Source organism: Homo sapiens, chromosome 22 (genome assembly GCF_000001405.40).
Source record: "Homo sapiens chromosome 22, GRCh38.p14 Primary Assembly".
Classification (NCBI taxonomy): domain Eukaryota; kingdom Metazoa; phylum Chordata; class Mammalia; order Primates; family Hominidae; genus Homo; species Homo sapiens.
Window position 1 is genome coordinate 42643488 of NC_000022.11, and position 16944 is coordinate 42660431.

Consider the following 16944-nt stretch of genomic DNA (forward strand, 5'->3'; position numbering starts at 1 on the left):
CCCAGCTACAGTTACAGGTCCTTTGTTGGGCTTAAAACAAAAGGCCTCTCTCCCAGGCAGGGCCTCCATGCTGGGTGCAGCTGAGGCCTCGCTCCATGGGGCCCTTGGTATTTGACCCATGGGTCTAAAGGAAGGGCTGTGGATGCCTAGCCCACCCCTCACCCATGCCCAGGGCCACCCAGCTGGGGTCTCTGGCCACCACCCATTTAATCAGCATGGCCCAGGTGTTTCACTCATCCCAGGCCTCCTTTAAGGCCCCAGTTGGCAGCTGTGGACTTGGGTCAGAGAGACCAGGGTTTGAGTCCCAGCTAAGGATGGCAGGAGAGTCGCTTCACTTCCCCGGGCCCTACCTGGAGGATGGGGAGGGTGGGGAGGAAGGAGGCACACAGCGGTCAGCGCCCCTGAGCTGGCACTGTTCTGAGTAGGGGCCGCGGGTTTCCTGGAATACTCCCCACCTCAACCCTAGGCTGCGGGCACTGTGATCATCCCAGCACGTGAGGAAACTGAGGCCAGGAAAGGGGAGTGACCTGCCCGGAGTACACCAAAGCCAGCCCTCCAAGCATCGCTCACCACATGACACTGTTATCTATCCCTCAGATAGATGAAGTGACCTGCCAAGGTCATATAGCCATTCAGGGTGGGCCGGGAGTGGACTCTCAATGTCCAGCCCAAAGTGCTGCTCTTCCTGAGCCACCTCCCAGGACAGGGGCACTCTTTCTGCTCCAGTCAAAGAGCTCACAGCCCAAATCTGACATCCTGCCTCCCACAGTGAGGCCTGAGCACCTGCCCCCAGCCCCGGGGGTCCGAACCAACAGGCGGCTCCACCCCTCCTCAAATACCCACCATAGCTCCCCACTGCCTACCTGAAGGCACCCTCTCTATGGCCCCAACTCTGGACTCACCTCCCAGCTCTCTGCTCTTTCAACATCAAGCCCATCTTGCTTCAGGCGTTCGCATATGCTCTCCTCTCTGCCCCAAATGTCCTTGCTCTGCATGCATCCAACCAGCAAACTCCTATTCATTCCTCAGAGCCTAGCTCAAACATCAAATCTTCCCTGATGAGCCCTTCCCTAGCTAACCAGGCCCTTGGTAGACTTTTCACAGCCCCTGGTCCCTTCTGGAAACTCCCTGGGGCAAGTACTATTCCGAGGATTCCTCTGCTATCGACCTCTCCCTCAGTCACAGAAACCACGCCCACGTGGAATAGAGTCTAGGGAAAAAGTTGGCCGAAGTTACATTCACAGGAAATCACCATTGTTGGGGGCCCTGGCAATGAACTTGAATGACATTAGGAGCTGGGGTTGTGCTTGGTGCTCCCTGGAGTTCTGTTTTTCCAGCACAGCTGCGTCAGTGCACAGCCCAGCTTAAGGCCCCTCCGCGGGCAGCTGGCTTCACGGGCTGCGAGGCACCTTCCCCCATTTCCTCCCCGGCCCTCCCACAGTGGTGCAAGGTGGGAACAACCAGGCTCCCCGTGTGACAATGAGGGGACAAATGTAGCTCAAGGAGGCCCAGGGTGGAGCCTGGTTTCTGATTTTCTGTTGCTTTCCCACTTCCCTCCCTTGCCCTAAACCTAAACCCATGGAAGTGAGCCTGGGTGGGCGCTGGGCCAAGAAAAAGACACCCGCGTATTAGTGGCTCCGATGGCAAGTCCCCGAATGCTGGCCTCCAACCCCAGGCTGCCGGCTCCCCACAAGTCTCCAGAAGTGGCCCTGGAGCAGACCGCAGGATCTGTGTCTGTCGTCACCACTGTATCCCCAACACTCCACACAGAAAGCACTCAACAAATATTTGTGGAATGAATTAGTGAAGGGACAACAGGCTCCCACCCTCCCAGTGTTTTTATTTTGCCTAGAAGTTTCCAGAACCAGGACAAGAGCCCAGACTCCTGGATGAGGGCGCGGCACAGCCTGTCCTGTTTGTCAGAAAAGCCCGCTTGTCCTCCAAGAGCACAGGCCTCAGAGGTGGGCTTAGGATCCGGCTCCAGGCTGTTTCCACGCCTGTTCCACACTCAGAGAGGACATACGCAGCTCCCGTGGCTGAGCTGGGAGTCAAGCACTGCTCAGAAGGCCAGGCTCGCCGTGGGCAGCAGATGAGAGTCAAGGACCTTCCTTCCAGTGTCTGCTCCCAACAACAGGGGCTGCCCGGAGCCAGGCGGGCAGCCTCTGCTCACGCCACCTCATTCAGTCCTCAAGCCTGTTCATGACTCCTCCCACTTCAGGTGAGGAAACCAAGCCTCAGGGGACAGACTTGAGCCCGGGGACACTTTCTGGCCACTAAAGAGAAGGGGTGGGCTTTTTATAGGTAAAAGTTCTTATCTGGGGAGGCAGCCACAGGCAGACCATCACCGTCGGTCAGTCGTTTAGTCCACAAACCCCAGTGGGCACTGAGGTGGCAGGTCCCATGTGCAACGCAGGGGACACAGGCCAGGAGGCCCCGCCCGAGTTCAAGCCAGACGGGGAGACAGACACCGGCAGAGAGGGCGCACCACAGCCAGGAGCAGTGGAGGGGCGAAGGTTTCACCTCCAGAAAGCCAGAGGCCCTGCCAGACTCACACGGTGGGGTGCACTCTCTTCCTACCCACACGGGTTGGAACAGGCTCTGCCCCGTCCTCGTCCACAGCACCACCCCAACCCTCACCAGCAGTGGGCCAAGTAAACAGAAGGCAGGTGGCTGAGGCCAAGGTCCCACCCCTGTGCCTCCTCACCTGTGCTGCGTGCACACTCACACACACACTCACACACACAGACCACCTCACCCCAGCCACCTGGGGGCCCAGGAGACAGCTGCCTCCCAGCCCCTGACCTAATGCCCACAAGCCATGCTCTGCCCCACCAGGGAACCCATCACCCGCCTCTCCTTGCCTCTAATAACACAGAGGGGAAGAGGGACACAGGGTGCCAGAGTCCCAGGGAGCCCCCAGCTCATGCACCATAGCTGAGGGGCTGCGTAGCTCTGCTCCCCACACATAGAATGCCCTGCGCAGCTGCCCACCCCTGGAATTCCCCACTGGGACCCTGGCCTCCACTCTGCCCAGGCCAGGTTAGGGGTGGGCAGAGAGAGCTGCCAGGGCCCCCGACCTGGCAGGCCCGGTCCTCCCCAGGTGCCAGCTCCCTGCCCTGGAGCTTAGACAAGCCAGTCGGGTGACTTGCTTACCTGTCCCCTGCCTGCCCGCCAGCGGTCCTGCCAGAATCTGAGCGGCACCTCCCTCCTGGTCCTGTTCTAACCGGGAGGAAGTGGGAGGGAGTGGAGGAAGTTCTGCAGTGGGGGGCTCTGGCTTGGCTGGGAACTGTGGGGGAAGGGAACCCAGGAGAAGGAACAGGTGGACACAGAGCTGGGATCTGGGCCGCAGAGTAAGCATGGGGCTGCCAGGGACAGTAGGAAAGCCCGGCAGACTGTACCTGTCAGCCTGTCAGGGTCGCTGAGCACTCACAGCCGGGCTGGGAGGCAGGGGAACCACAGTTCAGGATGGCAGACCAAGCTCCAATGTTTTCCCAGTGTGGCTGGCAGACTCCAGGGCCAACCCCTGGCCTGGATCCCACAAAGTGTTGGGAGAGGCCTCCCATGGGGCCTGCATGTCTTAGATAAGACACCTAGAGCACCAGGCCCCCAGCCAGCCTCCTCCAGACTGTGGGGAGCCCGTAAGCCAGGAGGCCTGGCTCAGAATGTGCTGGAGACATTCTGGGCCAAGCGAGGATCCCAGCAGCACCCACAAAGGGTAATCCCCACCCACCCTTGGAGAGATGGGGCTGGGCGGGGGAGGGTTGGTGGAGGTCTCCCGACTCCCAGGCAGTGCTCTGCCCCTTACAGAGGACTGCTCAGCCATTCAACAGAAATATATGGAATGAGGCCAAGAACGGCGTTCACACCTGTAATCCCAGCACTTTGAGGAGCTGGGATGGGAGGATCACTTGAGCTCAGTTTGTGGCCAGCCTGGGCAACATAGCAAGACATTGTCTCCATTAAAAATACAAAAAATTAGGCCAGGCACAGTGGCTCACTCCTGTAATCCCAGCACTTTGGGAGGCTGAGGCAGGTGGATCATCTGAGGTCAGGAGTTCGGGACCAGCTTGGCCAAGATGGCGAAGCCCAGGTGTGATGGCGAGTGCCTGTAATCCCAGCTACTTGGGAGGCTGAGGCAGGAGAATTGCTGGAGCCCAGGAAGTGGAGGTTGCAGTGAGCTGAGATCATGCCACTGCACTCCAACCTGGGTGACAGAGAGAGACTCCATCTCAAAAAAAAAAAACTTAGCCAGGCATATTGGCACGTGCCTGTACTCAGGACACTGAGGTAGAAGGATCACTTGTGCCCAAGAGGTTGAGGCTGCAGTGAGCTATGATCGCGCCACTGCACTACTGTCTGGGTGAGAGACTCTTCTCAAAAAAGAAAAAAGAAAAAAGAAATGTATGGAGCAGCCAGGTGCAGGGGACGTGGCCATAAATCCAACCACCAGCTGGAAGGTATGGAACACCACCAAAAACAGCAGGGAAGGGTTGGGTGGAGACCAGGGGAAGCTTTAGAGACACAGGCAGGACATTTCAACAATAAAGGAGGCAGATGCTTTCTGGGGAAAAATGGGCCGGGTGTTGCATGGAGGTTGGGGTGATGCCCACAGGTTCACCCTGGCCAAGGTTGCCTGGGGTCTGAACATCCCGAAGTTCTGGGTTGGGCCACACTTTCCTTAGCAACCACCCAAGCCAAGAGGCCTTTTGCCTGGATCCCCAAGGAGGAGACTCCAGGTCCTCCCCAAGGAGGGAGGACCCAGGTGCCCTCCAAGTGGCAGATGCCAGGCATAGAGGTAGAGGTGGAGGTGGAGGAGCACTGGGCTGATTCCTCCTGTGCCAGCCTCCCCACGCCTAGCGGGTCACAGTTGACAGGAGAGCTGCCCTCTGCAGCCGCAGCCTCCACATGTCCACACAGACTCAAGCCTCCAGCCTCACCATGGTCAACTTTTGAGAAACTGGGGAGAGGAGGTGGCCTGGGGGGAAGGGAAGGTGGCTCTAGGCCAGCCCAGGAGTGACAGCAGCAGAGTGGACTTTGAAACCCCATGGAGCAGGCTCCTTCCGGCGGCAGCGTTGTGGGACGGTGGCCAAGACTAGTTTGCATTTCCCCATCTGTGAAATGGGGCAAACAGCACTGACACCGCAAAGTGTGAGGTCCCCAGCACAGCTTGCAGGGTCAGTGGGAGCCTGGCCTTGATGGGAGCCTGGCCCACTGAGCATTGGGAGGATGCCCCCGTGTCATCCGGGTTCTGTTCCTTGTTGCTAAACGTGCAAAACCCTCTGACATAGTGACATCGCACACACACACACGTTCAGTCGCAGTCAGTGACATCGCCCATTCACATACTCCCGTACACACACACACACCCCATCACACGTTTCCATGCCCGCCCTTCACACCCACGGTCACACTCACACACACATTCACTCTCAAGCCATTCACACGCTCGCTCACACACTCACACTCAGCGGCACACACGCTCACAACCACGGGTCCCTCCAGCAGCCAAGGCCCCACGGCGGCCAGGGCAGGGCCCAGGTGCCCCCGGGTGCTGGGCTCTGGCGCGCCCCCCGGGCAGGAGGGCTGGGTCCCCGCTGCAGACTGCCAGGGCGTAAGTAGCGGTCACCACGTAGCTCGCCCAGGCCCTTGTGGGGTGGGGTGGGGCGCGGCGGGCTGGGCGGGCGAAGTGGGTGCGGCCGGGTGCGGCCCGGGTCCCGCGTCACCTCCCGCAGGCCAGCCCGCCCCCTCGCCGCCGGGTCCCAGTCCCTCGCGACGCCCCGCGGCCCCGGCGCCCCCTCCCCGCCTACCGTGCTGAGCTGGGCCCCCATGGTGGCCCCGCGCCGCGCTCGCTCTGTCGCCGCCGCCGCCGCCGCCGAGACCGTCGCGCCCGGGCCCGCGTCACTCCGGAGCAGGGGCGGGGCCGAGGGGCCAGGCGGGCGCGCGGGGCGGGGCGGGCGCGGGGGCGGGGACCGGGTCGCTCCGCCTGCTTCTGCCGGGGATGGAGACTGGGAACTGGGGATGCGGCCCTCTGCGCTCCGAGCTCTCCCGCCGCTGTGCTGCCCCGCGCGGGACGGTGGCCTCTCTGGGCCTCGTTCGCCGCCATAAAGGAAGCAAGATGGCGCCCCCCGGATGGGAGCGAGAATAAGAGGCGGAATCTTCCCCCGGCCTCCGAGACTGCAGGGGCCGGTCCTGCCTGGCCTGGCCTGGGCCTGTGCCTGCAGCTGCTCAGCGCGGCCCTTCCCCGGGCCTTTGAATTTGTAGTTCCCTGGGCAGCACTGTTCCCAGCTGCCTCGGGCCGGGTTAAATGCTGCGGTCTCAGCACGGCCCGCCCGGAGCCTCCTCGCCGGCGGCGCCTCCGCTCCCCACGCCATTGTCCCACTGTGGAGTGATCTTTGTCCCACTTAGCTGAAGGCCTCCTGCGTGTTTCCCCCACTCCCACCCCATCCCAGTGGACTGTGCGCTCCCGGAGGGCAAGGCCCTATCTGGTTTGAAGTCCCGTACATCCCCAGAGCCTAGCCACACAGAGCCTAGCATATAGTAGGTGCTCAATAAATACCTTTTTTTTTTTTTTTTTTTTTGGTAAAGCAGGGTCTCACTCTTGCCCAGACTGGAATGCAGGAGCCTGATCACAGCTCACTTTAGCCTCAACCTCCCAGGCTCAAGTGTTCCTCCTGCCTCAACCTCCTGAGTAGCTGGGCACATGCCACCACGTCCGGCTAATTGTTTTTTTTTTTGAGACGCAGTTTCGCTCTTGTTGCCCAGGCTGGTATGCATTGACGCGATCTCGGCTCACCGCAAACTCCGCCTCCAGGGTTCAACAGATCCTCCTGCCTCAGCCTCCCGAAATTACAGGCATGTGCCACCACATCTGGCTAACCAGCTAATCTTTTTTTTTTTTTTTTTTTTTTTTTTTTTGAGACAGAGTCTCGCCCTGTCCCCCAGGCTGGAATGCAGTGGCGCCATTTCGGCTCAATGCAAGCTCCGCCTCCAGGGTTCACGCCATTCTCAGCCTCCCGAGTAGCTGGCACTACAGGCACCCCACCGCGCCCGGCTAATTTTTTGTATTTTCAGTAGGGACGGGGTTTCACCGTGTTAGCGAGGATGGTCTCGATCTCCTGACCTCGTGATCCGCCCGCCTCGGCCTCCCAAAGTGCTGGGATTACAGGCGTGAGCCACCGCGCCCGGCCTAATTTTGTATTTTTAGTAGAGACGGTGTTTCAACATGTTGGTGAGGCTGGTCTCGAACTTCCGACCTCAGGTGATCCACCTGCCTCGGCTTCCCAAAGTGCCGGGATTACAGGTGGGAACTACCGCGCCCGGCCATTTTTGCATTTTTTTGTAGAGACGGGTTTCACTATGTTGCCCAGGCTGGTCCGGAACTCCTGGGTTCAAGCCATCCTCCCACCTTGGCCTCCCAAAGTGCTGGGATTATAAGCGTGAGCCACGATGAGCAGCCTAAATACTTGTTGAATGGATGAATTTGACAGACAGTGGGCACCTTCTCTGTGTAGGCTCATGCTGGGCCTTAGCGTCATTCTCTTGCCTTGCTCTCCTGGTAGGGTCTTGGACCCAGATGTGAGCTCCTGGTGCTCTGAGGGGATGGGGTGGGCTGTGTGTTCAGGCAACGTGGCACAGACCAGGCAGAGAAAGGGAGAAGCGCCTTGCTGGCAGGGCCTGGAGGTGGAGACAGGTGAACAGAGGCCTGATGGGCAAGGTTAGAGGGGCTGATACAGCCGAGCTGGGGTGTGATGTGACGTTGGGGAGGCAATGTGGAGCCCCGGGTGGAAAGAACTGGAATGTCAAGGAGAATGGGGAGCCCTGCAGGATCTAGGTAGCTGAGGGAGTGACTCACTGGGTTTATTTACCCAGAGAAGAGATCTCGCTCTGATGCCCAGGCTGGAGTGTAGTGATGCAGTCACAGCTCACTGCAGCTCAAGCCATCCTCCCACCACAGCCTCCCGGAGCACTGGGATTACAGGCATGAGCCACCATGCCCGTCTGCCTACCCACCCACCTGACCTACTGTTTTTTTTGTTTGTTTGGTTGGTTGGTTGGTTTTTCTTTTTTGAGACGGAGTCTTGCTCTGTTGCCAGGCTCACTGCAATCGCGGCTCACTGCAACCTCCGGGGTTCAAGCGATTCTCCTGCCTCAGCTTCCCTAGTGGCTGGGACTACAGGTGCGTGCCACCATGCCCAGCTAATTATTATTATTATTATTATATTTTTTGAGACGGAGTTTCGTTCTTGTTGCCCAGGCTGGAGTGCAATGGTGCGATCTCGGCTCGCCGCAACCTCCGCCTCTCAGGTTCAAGTGATTCTCCTACCTTAGCCTCCCGAGTAGCGAGGATTACAGGCATGCGCCACCACACCCAGCTAATTTTGTATTTTTAGGAGAGACAGGGTTTCTCCATGTTGGTCAGGCTGTTCTCGAACTCCTGACCTCAGGTGATCTGCCTGCCTCGGCCTCCCAAAGTGCTGGGATTATAGGCGTGAGCCACCACGCCCAGCATGTCCAACTAGTTTTTGTATTTTTAGTAGAGACGGGGTTTCACCATGTTGGCCAGAATGGTCTCGATTTCATGACCTCATGATCCACTCGCCTCTGCTTCCCAAAGTGCTAGGATTACAGGCGTGAGCCACGGTGCCCAGCTCACCTACTGGTTTTAAAGAGGGAACTCTGGGGGCAGTGTGGAGGGAGGGACCTACTGCCATAGAATACAAACGTAAATCTTGACTTGGGATCAGCTAAGCATTATTTCAATTTTATTTTATTTATTTTGGTATAACTTTTTGCTGAAAGTATCTTGGATTCATGATGGATCTTTCTGGGTTTTGCCACATATTTTCATGCTAAAGGTTAAATTATTTTTTACGTGCAAGTAATCTGAATAGTTTTACCCCCATGGGAACACTGGTTGTAGAAAGATGACACTACATGGGTTAGGTGTCTTTTTTTAATTGAAAAACTAACAAAAAGAGGAAAAGAAAAACACACAGGCCAGGCGCAGTGGCTCACGCCTGTAATCCCAGCACTTTGAGAGGCTGAGGTGAATGGATCACCTGAGGTCAGGAGTTTGAGACTCAAAAAAAAAAAAAAGGAAAAGAAAAGCTAGCCGGGCACGGTGGCTCACGCCTGTAATCCCAGCACTTTGGGAGGCCGAGGCGGGTGGATCATGAGTTCAGGAGATCAAGACCATCCTGGCTAACACGGTGAAACCCCGTCTCTACTAAAAATACAAAAAAAATTAGCCGGGCATAGTGGTGGATGCCTGTAGTCCCAGCTACTCGGGAGGCTGAGGCAGGAGAATGGCGTGAACCCGGAAGGCGGAGGTTGCAGTGAGCTGAGATTACACCACTGCATTCCAGCCTGGGCCACTGAGAGAGACTCCATCTCAAAAAAAAAAAAAAAAGAAAAGAAAAGCTAACAAATTGTCCAGTTGCATATTTCTCTCTCTCTCTCAAAAAAAAAAAAAGATGGGGTCACTGGAGACCCCTCATTGTCCATACCCTCCAGCTGGCTTGGTCCCCAGTTCCAGCAATCCTGTCCTCTGGCTGCCCCCAACCCTGGCACAGGACTGTGCCAAGGGTGTTTATTTTGCCCATTTATTGATCTGGGCCTCAGCTCCCAACACATTTCCTTTCTGGGGTTTGGATCTGCTTGCAACAGCCAAGTGAGGCCCCAGAACTTGCTGCTTTCCAGGGGACACTGTTAAAATGTCCTTTTTTCTGCCAAGCTTGGTGGCTCACACCTGTAATCCCAGCACTTTGGGAGGCCAAGGCAGGCAGATCACCTGAGGAGTTCGAGACCAGCCTGGTCCAACATGGTGAAACCCCGTCTCTACTAAAAATACAAAAATTAGCCAGGCATGGTGGAGGGCGCCTGTAGTCCCAGCTTCTCAGGAGGCTGAGGCAGGAGAATTGCTTGAACCCGAGAGTTGGAGGTTGCCGTGAGCCGAGATTGCACCACTGCACTCCAGCCTGGGCAACGGGGCGAGACTCTGTCTCAAAAAATAAAATAAAAAAATAAAATAAAATAACATATCGTTTTTGCTCTGAGCCCTCCTTTTTACCCTGAGGTCTAATCCTGCCTGCACCCAGGGAGGTAGGGATGTCTCCCCAGTGTGGTCAGCAGAGCAGGTTGAGGGAAGTTGGGGGTCCAGTTTCTTTGGAAAGGGAGGGGTAGGTTTCTCCCCTGAAGCTCATGGGGGCTGCTCACCTCCTGCAAGGTGCTGACTGTGAGGCAGCCCCGGGGAGCAGGGAGACGAAACAGGAAGGACATTGACTAGAGGCTCGCCTGCTGTTCTTGGGAGCTCTCAGACCCTGGGCTGGGGACTCGTGTTTGCAGCTAGCAAGGTTGGGTCTGGCCAGCTCTGCTACGGCTCATGGAGTGACCGCAGGCCAAGACCTTTCCTTCTCAGGGCACTTGTCTGAGAGAGGGTGGGCAGACCTCGAGGTCTTTAAAGCTCCTTCTGCTTCTGATATTTTATATTTATTCTCCCTCAGACTTTTGTTCGGGAAAAATATTTAACGTACAGAGAAGTTGCAAGAATAGTATAAATACAACAATCACATTCACCAGTGGTTATCATTTCAGCTCTTTCTCTTTCTCCCTGCTTTTCTCTCTATCTCCCTATCTCTCTATTTGGTTTTGGTGAACCATGTGACAATTAGTTGCAGACACTTGACCCTTCACCCCTAAACACTTCCCCATACTTCTCCCAAGAACAGGGTCGCTCTCCTACATTGTGTGATTATCAAATTCAGGAAACTTAACATTGACCCGATGCTATTATCTGTCCATATTCCCAATTACCCCATAAAGTCCTTTCTAGCTATTCTTTTTTTTTTCTGACTCAGGCTCTAATCCCAGGTCAAGCATTGCATTTACTTGGAAAGTCTCTTTAGTCTCCTTTAATCTGGAGACCGATGGGATCGGGAGGTACAGGTATGTGATGTCAGCTTGTCCCATTGTTGGTGGCGCCTGCCAGGCCTCCCCGATGTAAGATAACCTTTTGCTTTGATACCCTGTGAATGCCCTGATCCCCAATAAACTTCATATAATGGTTTCTGCATCTAGCCAGGATCCTGGCCTGAGTCAGTTATCATTGAGTGGTTTAACTGGTTTACAAACTGCTTCGGGAAGAAAAAAAAAAAAAGAAAGACCCTTGTCCTATTCCCTCAAAGTCCTGCTGTGATTCAGAAACTCCCTACAAACCCCTTTTACTTTGGGCATGTTAGCTGAGGATCTCTGACCCATCCTGCTGAGGAGTTTGATCCTTGGGAAAGGCTGGGAGGTAGACGGGGCAGAGAAACAGTCATTTTCTAGAGGAGGAAAATGAGGCCCAGAGAGAGCAGAGAATCAGGAGGGTAGTGGAGCAACTCCCTCAGGAATCTCTGAGCTCCAGCCCTTCTATGGCTAAGAGGAGGAGTTTGGGAAGGAGGCTCCTAGGCAGATGCAAGGGCAGAGTTTTGGGCCTGGGTTGGAGCTATATTACTCAGGCAGTCCCCTAAGTCCCTGTCAGAGGTGCAGGAACTAAGTTGCCAGATTGAGTGAATAAAAACACCGGGCACGGCTGGGCGCAGTGGCTCAGGCCTGTAATGCCAGCACTTTGGGAGGCCGAGGCGGGTGGATCACCTGAGGTCCGGAGTTCGAGACCAGCCTGACCAACATGGAGAAACTCAGTCTCTACTAAAAATACAAAAAATTAGCCAGGCATGGTGGTGCATGCCTGTAATCCCAGCTACTCGGGAGGCTGAGGTAGGAGAATCGCTTGAACCTGGGAGGTGGAGGTTGCAGTGAGCTGAGATCAAGCCACTGCACTCCATCCTGGACGACAGAGCAAGACCCTGTCTCAAACAAAACAAAACAAAACACAACAAAAAACAAAACAAAAACAGGGACGGGTGTGGTGGCAGTAATCCCAGCACTTTGGGAGGCCGAGGTGGGTGGATCACCTGAGGTCAGGAGTTCAAGACCAGCCTGGTAAACATGCTGAAACCCTGTCTCTACTAAAAATTAGCTGAGCATGGTGGCGTGCATCTGTAGTCCCAGCTACTCCGGAGGCTGAGGCAGGAGAATGGCTTGAACCTGGGAGGCAAAGGTTGCAGTGAGCTGAAAGCACCACTACACTCCAGCCTGGGAGACTGAACAAGACTCTGTCTCATAAATAAATAAATAAATAAATAAAACCACACACACACACACACACACACACACACACACACACACGAGGTATCATTAACTGAGGGTCAACAGTGTGCCCAGGGCTAGACTGGGAAACCAGAGATGAATGAGGCTCAGTCCCCAGAGACAGACACCAAGCTGAAAACGGTGGGGAGGAACACCAGGCTCTTCACTGATGTGAAATCAAGGGAGGTGACATCTGAGCTCTGAGGACCTAACACGCTGTTGTGATTTTATGCAAACGATGGAGGAAGGGCGGCGCCCTGTGATGAGCTACACGGAGCTTCTGACAGGTGCCAGGTGCTTTGCCTGTGTGGAGAGATAGGATCATGATGTTCTCTCTGTTTTCTCCTGTATTTTCCGCTTCCCTTTCCCTGTGTTTGCTGCCCCAGGGAAATGGCGTGGTGGGGCAGAAAGCTGCAGCCTGCCAGGAGTGAGCCAGAGAAAGTTCCCTGGCCTGGGCAGAGCTCCTTGAGAACATGTGGAGGAAGAAGGGCTCCCACCTCTGACCAGATAACCCCTCAGTGGATTCTTGGTGCCCACTGAACAGGCAAAACCAATTCACTGAGAGTAGGGCATTGCAATAAAGAGAGAGTTTAGGCCAGGCACGGTGGCACATGCCTGTAATCTCAGCACTTTGGGAAGCTGAGGCGGGTGATCACAAGGTCAGGAGTTCGAGACCAGCCTGGCCAATATGGTGAAACCCTGTCTCTACTAAAAATACAAAAAAAATAGCTGGGCATAGTGGTGGATGCCTGTAATCCTGGCTACTCGGGAGGCTGAGGCAGGAGAATTGCTTGAACCCATCCCAAACCAACCACGCCACGTGGGAGGTATAGTTACGACTCAAAACAATCTCTCTGAAAATTCAGAGGCGAGGGTTTTTCAAGGATTGCCTGGTCAGGGAGTCAACTTCTGAGTGTGGCCATGGAACTAGTCTGTGGGTGTCAGGGTCTGGGCGGAGTCATCGGTCACAAGAAACGCAAAAGCCTGAGAAGACATCTTGAAAGGCCAAGTCTTAGGTTCTGCAGTAGGGATGTTATCTGCAGAAATAACTGGGGGAGTTGCAAATCTTGTGGCCTCTGGAATGATGGCTGGTAATGATTTATGTCTACACGTTAGCAAAATTCAGGCTCCTCATCCTCTTAACCTGGTGGGTCTTTCGTCTGCTTTACAAAGGTGGTTCAGTTCTGGGGAAAGGCTACGATCATTTAAACCAAGCTTGTCCAAACCTTGGCCTGCAGGTCGCAGGTGGCCCAGAACGGCTTTGGATATAGCCCAACACAAATTCATAAAGTTTCTTTTTTTCTTTTCTTTTTTTTTTTTTTTTGAGATGGAGTTTCGCTCTGTTGCCCAGGCTGGAGAGCAGTGGCGCGATCTCGGCTCACTGCAACCTCCGCCTCCCAGGTTCAAGCGATTATCCTGCCTCAGCCTCCCTAGTAGCTGGGACTACAGGCGCCCGCCACCACGCCCAGCTAATTTTTGTATTTTTTAGTAGAGACGGGGTTTCACCATGTTAGCCAGGATGGTCTCGATCTCTTGACCTTGTGATCCACCCGCCTCGGCCTCCCAAAGTGCTGGGATTACAAGCGTGAGCCACCGCGCCCGGCCAAGATTTTTCTATTTTTAGTAGCAACCGGGTTTCACCATGTTGGCCAGGCTGGTCTCGAACTCCTGTCCTCAGGTGATCCACCCACCTCAGCCTCCCAAAATGCTGGGATTACAGGCATGAGCCACCACACCCGGCCTTCACTGTTACAATTTTCAAAAAGACCGTCTCACCAGGACTGGGGCAATTAGGGGGAGGCTAAGGGAGGTCTATAGATCCTGGAGTCCAGGGGCCTTCCCAACCATGCCACGTGGGAGATGTAGTTATGACTCAAATAAATAAAACCACACACACACACACACACACACACACACACACACACACACACACACGAGGTATCATTAACTGAGGGTCAACAGCGTGCCAGGGCTAGACTGGGAAACCAGAGATGAATGGTTTCCTACTGGCCTGTAGCATACCTTTCTGCAATTAGAGAAAGATGCCCTCTCTGGGGAACTGCCCCCCTCTGCCCCCCTGTTCCCTGGGCCTGACGTAGTCACACTGTTTCAAGCTCCACTTCCCACCTCTATGGGTTATTGTGCAACAAGGGAAAGATTTTTGCTGCACTTGTTTCCTGGGTGGGGTAATGCTGAAAGACAGCAGGGGTCTTCCCGGTATATATGGGCTATTAGGATCCAGGGGGATGGGAGGACAGTGGGGAGCTGCTCAATGTGAGCTGTCCCAAGCTGATTTGTGAAGATGGGCAGCCCTGCAGAAACTTGGGAGGACCAGTGACCAAGAACCAGTCCCACCTTGTCCTTCCCCTTGAAACTCCTGAGCCTCTAGAACTGAAGTCATGTTTCCTGCCAGCCTGGCTAAGAAGGGTCTTCAAGACGGAAATGCCTTTATTTTTATTTTTATTTATTTATTTATTTATTGAGACAGAGTCTCACTTGTTCGCCCACTCTGGAGTGTAGTGGCGCGATCTCAGCTCACTACAACCTCTGTCTCCCAGATTCAAGCGATTCTCCTGCCTCGGACTCCCAAGTAGCTGGGATTACAGGCTGGCAAAACCACACTCGGTTAATTTTTGTATTTGTAGTAGGACAGGGTTTCACCATGTTGGCCAGGCTGGTCTTGAACTCCTGACCCCGTGATCCACCCACCTCGGCCTCCCAAAGTGCTGGGATTACAGGCGTGAGCCACTGTGCCCAGCTGAACCCAGGACCAGCCTGGGCAACAGGGCGAAAACTCATCTCTACAAAAGACACAAAAATTGCTGGGCGCGGTGGCTCATGCCTGTAATCCCAGCACTTTGGGAGGCCGAGGTGGGCGGATCACAAGGTCAGGAGATTGAGACCATCCTGGCTAACACGGTGAAACCCCGTCTCTACTAAAAACACAAAAAATTAGCTGGGGATGGTGGCGGGTGCCTGTAGTCCCAGCTACTCAGGAGGCTGAGGCAGGAAAATGGCGTGAACCCGGGAGGTGGAGGTTGCAGTGAGCCGAGATTGTACCACTGCACTCCAGCCTGGGCGACAGAGCGAGACTCTGTCTCAAAAAAAAAAAAAAAAAAAAAATTACCCAGTTGTGATGACACATGCCTGTAGTCCCAGCTACTAGGGAGGCTGAGGTGGGAGGATGGCTTGAGCCTGGGAGGCAGAGGTTGCAGTGAGCCAGGATCACACCACTGCACTCCAGCCTGGGTGACAGGGTGCCATGGTGTGGATATATACTTTATTTATTTGTTTATGGGTATTTAAGTTGTTTTCACTTTCTGGCTATTATGAATCATGCTACTGTAAACATCTGTGTACCTTTTGTGCTGACATATGTTTTCATTTCTTTGGGGCATATATACTTAGAAGTGGAATTGCTGGGTTCTATATATTGTATGTCTACCTTATTGAGGAACTACCAAAATGTTTTCCAAAGTGGCTACACCATTTTACATCCCCACCAGCAACACAGGAGGGTTCAAATTTCTCCGCATCCTCACCAACACTTATTATCTGACTTTTGATTATAGCCATCTCGTGGGTGTGAAGCATCTCACTGTGCTTGGTGTTGGTTTTTGTTTTTTTTTTCTTTTTTCTTTTGAGATGGAGTTTCACTCTTATAACCCAGGCTGGAGTGCAGTGGCGCAATCTTGGCTCACTGCAACCTCCGCCTCCCAGGTTCAAGTGATTCTCCTGCCTCAGCCTCCCCCATAGCTGAAACTATAGGCGTGTGCCACCATGCCTGGCTAATTTTTGTATTTTTTGTAGAGACAGGGTTTCACCATGTTGGCCAGGCTGGTCTAGAACTCCTGACCTCAGGTGATCCTCCCATCTTGGCCTCCCAAAGTGTTGGGATTACAGGCGTGAGCCACCGTGCCTGGCCCTATTCTCCTTTCACAACCCTATGAAACAGGGGTCCCCAAACCCCAGGCCATGGACTGATACCAGTTTACGGCCTTTAGGAACTGGACCACACATCAAGAGGTGAGTGGGGGGCGAGTAAGCAGAGCTTCATCTGTATTTACAGCCGATCCGCATCGCTTGCATTACTGCCTGAGCTCGCCTTCTGTCGGATCAGCAGCAGCATTAGATTCTCATAGGAGAATCCTATCGTGAACCCTATTGTGAACGGTGCATGTGAGGGATCTAGGTTCCATACTCTTTATGAGAATCTAATGCCTGATGATCTGTCACTGTCTCCCATCACCCCCAAATGGGACCGTCTAGTTGCAGGAAAACAAGCTCAGGGCTCCCACTGATTCTACATGATGGTGAGTTGTATAATTATTTCATTATATATTACAATGTAATAATAATGGAAATAAAGTGCAAATAAATGTCATGTGCTTGAATCATCCTGAAACCACCCCCTCAGCCCCCCATCCGTGGAAACGTTGTCTTCTGCAAAACTGGTCCCTGGTGCCACAAAGGCTGGGGACCACTGCTATAAAACTAACCCACACAACACCCCTGGGGAGCAGCCCGTTCCTTTTCCTTTCTCAGTGCTGGCTTCCTTGTGCACAAGCTAAAATAAACTTTCTTTTTGCTGCTATGTCTGGTGATCTCTCTTGATTTCTATCCTGGAAGATTACAAGAACCCAGTGTGCTGGTAACACTTCTGACTGTCCAGCTGTAAGTTGGAGTTCCCAAGACCCGCCACTTACGTTTGATTAATTTGGTAGCATGGCTCACAGAACTCAGAGAAACACTAAC

General features: G+C 54.3%; 1 protein-coding gene across 6 annotated transcripts in view, besides 5 other annotated features; it reads right to left on the bottom strand.

Moving 5' to 3' along the window:
• Positions 1–5905, bottom strand: part of CYB5R3 (cytochrome b5 reductase 3) — a 31553-nt gene extending 25648 nt beyond the window's left edge. Inside the window, exons 1-2 of one of the 6 annotated variants that reach the window (NM_001171661.1) lie at positions 3399–3502; positions 3154–3214 (exon numbers count right to left, since the gene is read on the bottom strand). Coding sequence is in view for 2 of the 6 variants with exons in the window: in NM_001171660.2 (NP_001165131.1) it covers positions 903–1022 (120 nt within the window). In the remaining 4 variants the exon portion in view is untranslated. Of the gene's footprint in view, positions 1–902; positions 1140–3153; positions 3503–5807 lie in introns of those variants that run through there. The other 5 variants (XM_047441183.1, NM_000398.7, NM_007326.4 and 2 more) reach the window with 5 other exon arrangements.
• Positions 732–1723: an enhancer, noted in NCBI's record as "H3K27ac-H3K4me1 hESC enhancer chr22:43040225-43041216 (GRCh37/hg19 assembly coordinates)". NCBI's record gives its function as "activates a minimal SCP1, AML or CMV promoter by ChIP-STARR-seq in primed H9 embryonic stem cells {active_cell/tissue: H9 hESC(primed)}" and the evidence as "EXISTENCE:reporter gene assay evidence [ECO:0000049][PMID:30033119]".
• Positions 5416–5765: a silencer, noted in NCBI's record as "silent region_13834". NCBI's record gives its function as "represses an Ori minimal core promoter by ATAC-STARR-seq in GM12878 lymphoblastoid cells {active_cell/tissue: GM12878}" and the evidence as "EXISTENCE:reporter gene assay evidence [ECO:0000049][PMID:35858748]".
• Positions 5786–5975: a silencer, noted in NCBI's record as "silent region_13835". NCBI's record gives its function as "represses an Ori minimal core promoter by ATAC-STARR-seq in GM12878 lymphoblastoid cells {active_cell/tissue: GM12878}" and the evidence as "EXISTENCE:reporter gene assay evidence [ECO:0000049][PMID:35858748]".
• Positions 6080–6893: an enhancer, noted in NCBI's record as "H3K27ac hESC enhancer chr22:43045573-43046386 (GRCh37/hg19 assembly coordinates)". NCBI's record gives its function as "activates a minimal SCP1, AML or CMV promoter by ChIP-STARR-seq in naive H9 embryonic stem cells {active_cell/tissue: H9 hESC(naive)}" and the evidence as "EXISTENCE:reporter gene assay evidence [ECO:0000049][PMID:30033119]".
• Positions 6286–6385: a silencer, noted in NCBI's record as "silent region_13836". NCBI's record gives its function as "represses an Ori minimal core promoter by ATAC-STARR-seq in GM12878 lymphoblastoid cells {active_cell/tissue: GM12878}" and the evidence as "EXISTENCE:reporter gene assay evidence [ECO:0000049][PMID:35858748]".